The sequence below is a fragment of the Homo sapiens genome, chromosome 12 (genome assembly GCF_000001405.40).
Source record: "Homo sapiens chromosome 12, GRCh38.p14 Primary Assembly".
Lineage (NCBI taxonomy): Eukaryota > Metazoa > Chordata > Mammalia > Primates > Hominidae > Homo > Homo sapiens.
The window spans coordinates 105,261,248-105,267,958 of record NC_000012.12 but is presented as its reverse complement, the minus strand read 5'-3'; the positions used below and the strand labels follow the sequence as shown (position 1 = coordinate 105,267,958).

Sequence of the window (6,711 nt, the reverse complement as noted above, 5' to 3'; positions counted from 1 at the left end):
TTACCAGTGTCCTGCTTACAGTCTTCACCGACGCTCCAGCTGATGACACAGCTCCCAGTGTGGGCCTCTAGGGCCTGGAGGCTCTTTTTGGAACCATGGAAAGCTATTCTAACTGACATATGCTTGTGCAGAGAAGCACCAGGAAATGACCACAGCCTGTCTGCACTCCAATAGCCCTCCAAATGTATCTCCCCTAGCCACTTGCTACTCAGGAAGAATTATTCTGAGATGTGTTTTTTACGCCATTTTTTAGAACATCCCTGTGAAATTACATTTCAATTGCCTACAGCAGTAGTTGGTTTAATAATGGAGCCTTGGCCAGGCACAGTGGCTCACACCTGTAATCCCAACACTTTGGGAGGCCGAGGCGGGTGGATCACCTGAGGTCAGGAGTTCAAGACCAGCCTGACCAACATGGTGAAACCCCATCTCTACTAAAAAATACAAAAATTAGACGGGCATGGTGGCAGGCGCCTGTAATCCCAGCTATTCTGGAGGCTGAGGCAGGAGAATCACTTGAACCTGGGAGGCAGAGGTTGCAGTGAGCCGAGATCGCGCCAATGCACTCCAGCCTGGGGTGACAGAGCAAGACTCTGTCTCAAAAATAATAATAAGAAGAATAAGAATAAGAATAAGAATAAAATAATGGAGGCTTTACTAGCTTCCTTTCCTGTGTCACTTCCCCGTTTCCTACCAGTATTCCCTGCACTTCCCAAATAAACGACTTATACTCAAATTATTGTCTCAGGGTCTGGTTTGGGAAGAACCCAAACTGAGACAGTCACACAACCCAGTTCAGATATATAGATCCATAACTATGGCTTTCCAAAGATTTCCTTTTGGGGTTTTACAAAGGCCACAAAATGAGGAGTGCAATTGAACACAATAGAAGGGAGAACTATATACATTTTATTATTCAGTTAATACAGTTCTATCACAAACCACCACTTGTTGGGGTCTGACTATCATTTTCCTATTCCCTCCTCACAGAGGAAGTGCAACCCTAAGAAAAGAACCCTAAGGAAAGGATGGTCAAGATAAGTCTTTTTCTTCTGGTCTTTGGGCTGGAATCATTTGTTCTGCGGATGTTCTGTGTCTACCACTCTGACATGCTGGGATGGGACTTCCTGCATGGGACTACTTATTCCAGATCTCTGCTCCATGGACTTTTTCAAGCTTTAATTTAAAGGGTTTTTAAAACAGAATTTATTTTTTAGAGTAGCTTTAGCTTCACAGCAAAATTGAATAGAAAGTACAAAGAGCTCCCATATAGTCTCTGCCCCCCACAACACAGCCTCCCACACTATCAACACCCGCACACTGGAGTGGCTACATTTATTACAATGGATGAGCCTACATTGTCATCTCATTATTGCCCAAAGTCCATAGTTGACACTCTTGGTGTACATTCTATGAGTATTGGCAAATGTATAACGACATGTATCTACCATTATAGTATCATACAGGACAGTTTGGATTCCCTAAAATTTCTGTGCGTTCTGCCTCTTTATTCCTCCCTCCTCGCAACCCTTGGCAACCACTGGTACTTTCACTCTCTTCATAGTTCTGCCATTTCCAGAATGTCACATAGGTGGACTCATACAGTATATAGCCTTTTTCAGATGGGCGTTTTCACTTTATAATATTCTTTGAAGTTTCCTCCAAGTCTACTCATGGCTGGATAGTTCATTTCCTTCAAGCGTTGAATTATAGTTCATTGTCTAAATGTACCCTGGTTTATTTATCCATTCGCCTACTGAAAGACACCTCAGTTGCTTCCAAGTTTTGTCAATTATTATTAAAGCTGCTATTAACATCCACGTGCAGGTTTTTGTGTGGATATAAGTTTTTAATTCATTTGGGTCAATACTAAGGAGCACAATTGCTGCATCATATGGTAAGAGTATACATAGTTTTGTAAGAAACAGCCAAATTGTCTTCCAAAGTGGCTGTACCATTTTGCATTCCCACCAGCAATGGATGAGAGTTCCTGTTGTTCTACATCCTTTCCAGCATTTTGTGTTGTCCGCATTTTGCATTTTGGCCATTCTGATAGGTGTGTAGTGGTATCTTATTGTTGTTCATATTTCGGCACCATTTTTTACATCACTTACATTGCTGAGGAAGGCTAGCCCTACAAAGTGTCAACGATGTACTACTTATCCCAGAGGGGGTGGCTTCTCTCTCTATTTGCTTGAGGACACAGCTCTTGCAGCTCCCCTGTGGAGGGGAAGGGATCCAATTCTATTACTTTTGGGAAACAGTGTCACTTGCTGGTGGGACTCATGAAAGGTCCCTCTCTGGGGGCTGGTTCTGTAACACTTCCAGGTAATGTCACTGACTACTTCCTGGGACCACAGAAGTTACTGTTCAGGGCTTTCTTACCCATTTCATTTTTAGTCCCTTTCTTGCTAAGCATGCCATGAAGGCCAGTGGTTTTCAATCTCATTTGTCTTGATCATTTGACAAATAATCAAGTTTTCTAACGATTTACACTTTGTTCTTAAGTTTAAAAAGATGCAAGATTATCTTTATAACTTTATATTTCACCTGTTTTCCAAAACGCTTTCTTTAGTATGAGGGAAAGGGATGGAGTAAAGCCAAATGGGAGGAACCTAGAAATTTCCATAGCACATGGGAGTGTCATGGGGAGAATTCTGAGAACCTCTGGGGCAGGCTTTTGTCTTACTGGGCAGTGCTCAGCATTTGGAAAAGCTGATGATGAGGTGGGGGCAAGAGGTGGATGTGAATGCAGAGGCTTAAAGTTTTACCAAGCAATGACCTAATAGCAATAATTTTTTTTTTTTTGAGACAGAGTCTCACTCTATCCCCCAGGCTGAAGTGCAGTGGTGCGATCATGGCTCACTGAAGTTTCTATCTCCTGGTCTCAAGTCATCCTCCCACCTCAGCCTCCTGAGTAGCTGCAACTACAAGCGCACACCACCACACCCAGCTAATTTTTTGTATTTTGTGTAGAGACATGGTTTCATCATGTTGCCCAGGCTGATCTCCAACTCCTGGGCTCAAGTGATCCTCCCACCTCCGTCTCCCAAAGTGCTGGAATTACAGGCATGAGCCACCGTGCCCACCTGCTAGCCACTATTCTAAGAGCTTTGTATGTATGATTGTATTTAGTACTCAAAACAGTAGCAGGTACTTTTACTATCACCTCCATTTTGCAGAGAGTTTAAAGAACTTACCTGTAGCTCCAGTGGTGCAATCAGTTAGTATATGGTACTCTTAAGAACTTACCAGACAGCACAGAGATACGGACTGAATCTAGCCAGGCTGATCCAGGTTCTGTGTTCCTCAATGTGCCACATCACCTTGATGCTGAGACTCATCTGAGACTTTCTTAGTGGCATTTCCTCACCCCACGCCGCCTCCTCTGTTAATAGCATGATATTATTAGGTTGGCACAAAAGTAATTGAGACTTTTGCCATAAAAGTAATGTATCCATTCACCTACTGAAAGACATCTTGGTTTCTTCCAACTTTTGTTAATTATTATTAAAGCTGCTATTAACATCCATGTGCAGGTTTTTGTGTGGACATAAGTTTTTAATTCATTTGGGTCAATACCAAGGAGCACAATTGCTGGATCATATGGTAAAAGTACGTGTATTTCTGTAAGAAACAGCCAAACTGTCTTCCAAAGTGGCTGTATCATTTTGCATTCCCACCAGCAATGAATGAGAGCTCCTGTTGCTCTACATCCTTGCCAGCATTTGGTGGTGTCAGCAAACCTGCTCTCCCCTCCATTCTATTAGATTGGTACAATTACTTTTGCAATTACTTTTTGCAATTACTTTTGCACCAACCTAATAGAATGGAGAGGAGGGCAAGTTTCCCAATGACTGTCCTCACTCACCCGTGTATTTATTCATTCATTTAACTGACAACTTCTGATCAAGCTCCAATTGTGTGCTGGGTACTCTGCTTAACCTTGAGAATACAGCAAGGAATGGGACAAAGTTCCTTCTACTCTCATAAGAAGTATATCTTTCATGTTGGAAACCAACAATAAACATATACATAAATATGGAAACTGTGATGGTGACAAGTGGCGGGAAGAGAAGAAACATACACAATAGAGAGTGTCTGGGAACTACTTTAGATTCAGTGGGCTGAGACCTGAGTCACAAGAAAGGCTTCATGAGAAGATCTAGGTTAAGAAAGCCCCAAACAGAAGGAAAGGGAGCCTACTGCGTGTGTTTGGAAACACAATAGGGTGGCATTGTTGGAGTGAAATAAGGGGGCCCGGGGCCCCACCAGGTACAGCCCTACAGGCCATGGAGAGGACCTTGGATTCTACAGCATGTGTAATGGGAACATGGGAGGGTTTGAGCAGGGGAGTTAGATGATCCACATACACCTCATTTTTTAAGGTTTTCGTTCCTTACAGGTGCAGTGGCTCACGCTTCTCATCCTAGCACTTTGGGAGGCCAAGGCAGGAGGATTACTTGAGGCCAGGAGTTTGAGACCAGCCTTGGCAACATAATGAGATCCTGCCTCTACACAAAGATTTAAAAATTAGCCAAGTGTAGTGTGTGTGCCTGTAGTGCCACCTACTCGGGTGGCTGAGATAGGAGGAGTGCTTGAGCCCAGGAGTTCGAGGCTGCAGTGAGCTATGACCACGCCACTACTCTCCAGCCTAGGTAACATAGCAAGACTTAGTCTTGCAGAAAGATAAAAAAAGTTTTCATTCCCTGATTTCACCTGTAGCAGGAGTTGCCAGCTGGTTGACAGAGACCTTTCTGCCTGTGTTAGTGTTTCGTGTCTTATTCAGTTGATCTTCAAATGGGTAGCTGCCACCATATTCCTTTTCCTACTGATTTCCAGGATTCCCAGCTAGGCAGAATCTGAGTGGTCCAACTCTCAATCTGTACACTGCTCTTAGGGCCCCAGAGAGCCACAAATAGACTGCAAAGCTGTCAGCCAGCCCCTAGGTTGTGCCCAAATTCTGTCTGGCCTGTGTGTATGTCGGCGTGTGGAGAGGTTGCTCTGCATTCCCCAGATACCCAAAGAGATCCCTAAGCCACAGAAACATTAAATCCACTGCTCATCTGCATGAGAAAAATGCAATGAGGGAGAACCCCTGACAAACAACTCTACTTGCAAAAGTAACACCTGGGATCATATCGAGTCCACATAAAATGCTTACAACTATCATATAGATTTTGGAGATGAATGTTAAGTGCTCGACAAATATTTGTTAAATGAATAAATGAGAAATTATCCAGCTCCCCATCCCCTGCATATTTCATGGTTGAGAAAACTGAAGCCCAGATGGGTTCCATATTTTGCCCAAAGTGACATATTTAGAATGTGGCAATGTTGAGCCTCAAGCCAAGATCTTTCAACTTCAATAACTGAACTCTCCACTTCAGTACACATCAGATTAAAGAACATATTAAGGAATATTTGCCACAAACGTAAATATCTTACTGGGATATTAGAATGCAATAATGGTAATAGCTAACATTTCCCTAGTACTCACAATGTGCCAGCCAATCACTTCATCCTCTCAGTAACCTCATGAGGTAGGCACTCTCATTACCCCCAATTTACAACGACGCCCCTGAGGCACAGAGTGGGTAAGTCAGTTATCCAACGTCACACAGAGTGGCAGTGGCAGTAGTCAAACCTTGGATCTGCATGCTCAATGCCACCCAGCCCCTCAGACTGAGTTTGTTACTTTGCAACCTCTTATACTGGAAACCTGGGCACAGCTTGGGTACAGGAAGACCCTAGCCAGGAGGTTGATGGGTTCTTAGCAGTCAAAAACAAAAGTTCCCAGGATGTGAAAGTCCAAAACACTGAGAAAACCCTACCTGACTTGTGAAATGAAAACCCTTTCCTTAAGAATGTAAAAGCAGAGGGAATTAACAGTACAAGTAAAAGGATAGAGAAAAAGCATTAAGCTCTCTAGAATACAAAACCAGTGGGCAATAAGACGTTTTACAAATTGAAGATGGCAGTTATTTATGTCTGTGAGACTTTTGTGGCATTTTCTTGACAGTCACATAATGAAATTATTTCAAAATGGGCCCTTCAAGTTTATTAGCATTAAAAAAAAACCCCTCCCCAACATGGAACAAAGAAGCCTAAAGCGGCTGCTACTTTTACATCATTTTATTTTGCCCTTATTTTTCCTGCTGAGAGTAGCATATTTTGTATACGGACCTTGTATTTTTCTCTTGTATGTACTCCAAGTTTCTCCGAGGCTCCCAAAGCAACCCCTGGAAGGTACATGTCACATGCTGGATGGTACATGTCACATGTCGCAGACTCAGCTGTACTACAGATGGCTGGATAGGTTTTCTCTTCTTCCCTGGATTCTGATGAACTAGAGTTACTTTGTTTTCTTTTAGGAAGCAATGCCTTCAAAATATTTTGCATCCAGTTTTGACATATGATGGCTTCCATATTTATAATTTTAGTTTTGTAACAGCACTGTCCCTGTTGTTTAAATTGTTATCCAAAGGCATGATGAAAGACATCAAGACTTGTCACAGTCAACTCTAAGTTTTCTCAGGTTGTACATGTGAGCTTATATGTACATTGGAGCAAAATAGAAAACAAAGTGTAATTTGAAACCTTATATGTACGTAGTGTAGGAAATAACTATATAGTTATATATATGCAAAAGTCCATATGCAAAAGAGGTTTAGTAACTGAGGGAACCAAACGTTCATAGGAATGAGAAAA

At 42.5% G+C, this 6,711-nt stretch overlaps 1 annotated feature.

Annotated features, from left to right (window-relative positions):
• Positions 5,662-5,836: a silencer, noted in NCBI's record as "fragment chr12:105655901-105656075 (GRCh37/hg19 assembly coordinates)". NCBI's record gives its function as "represses an EF-1alpha promoter that drives an FKBP-Casp9 reporter gene in an ReSE screen in K562 erythroleukemia cells {active_cell/tissue: K562}" and the evidence as "EXISTENCE:reporter gene assay evidence [ECO:0000049][PMID:32094911]".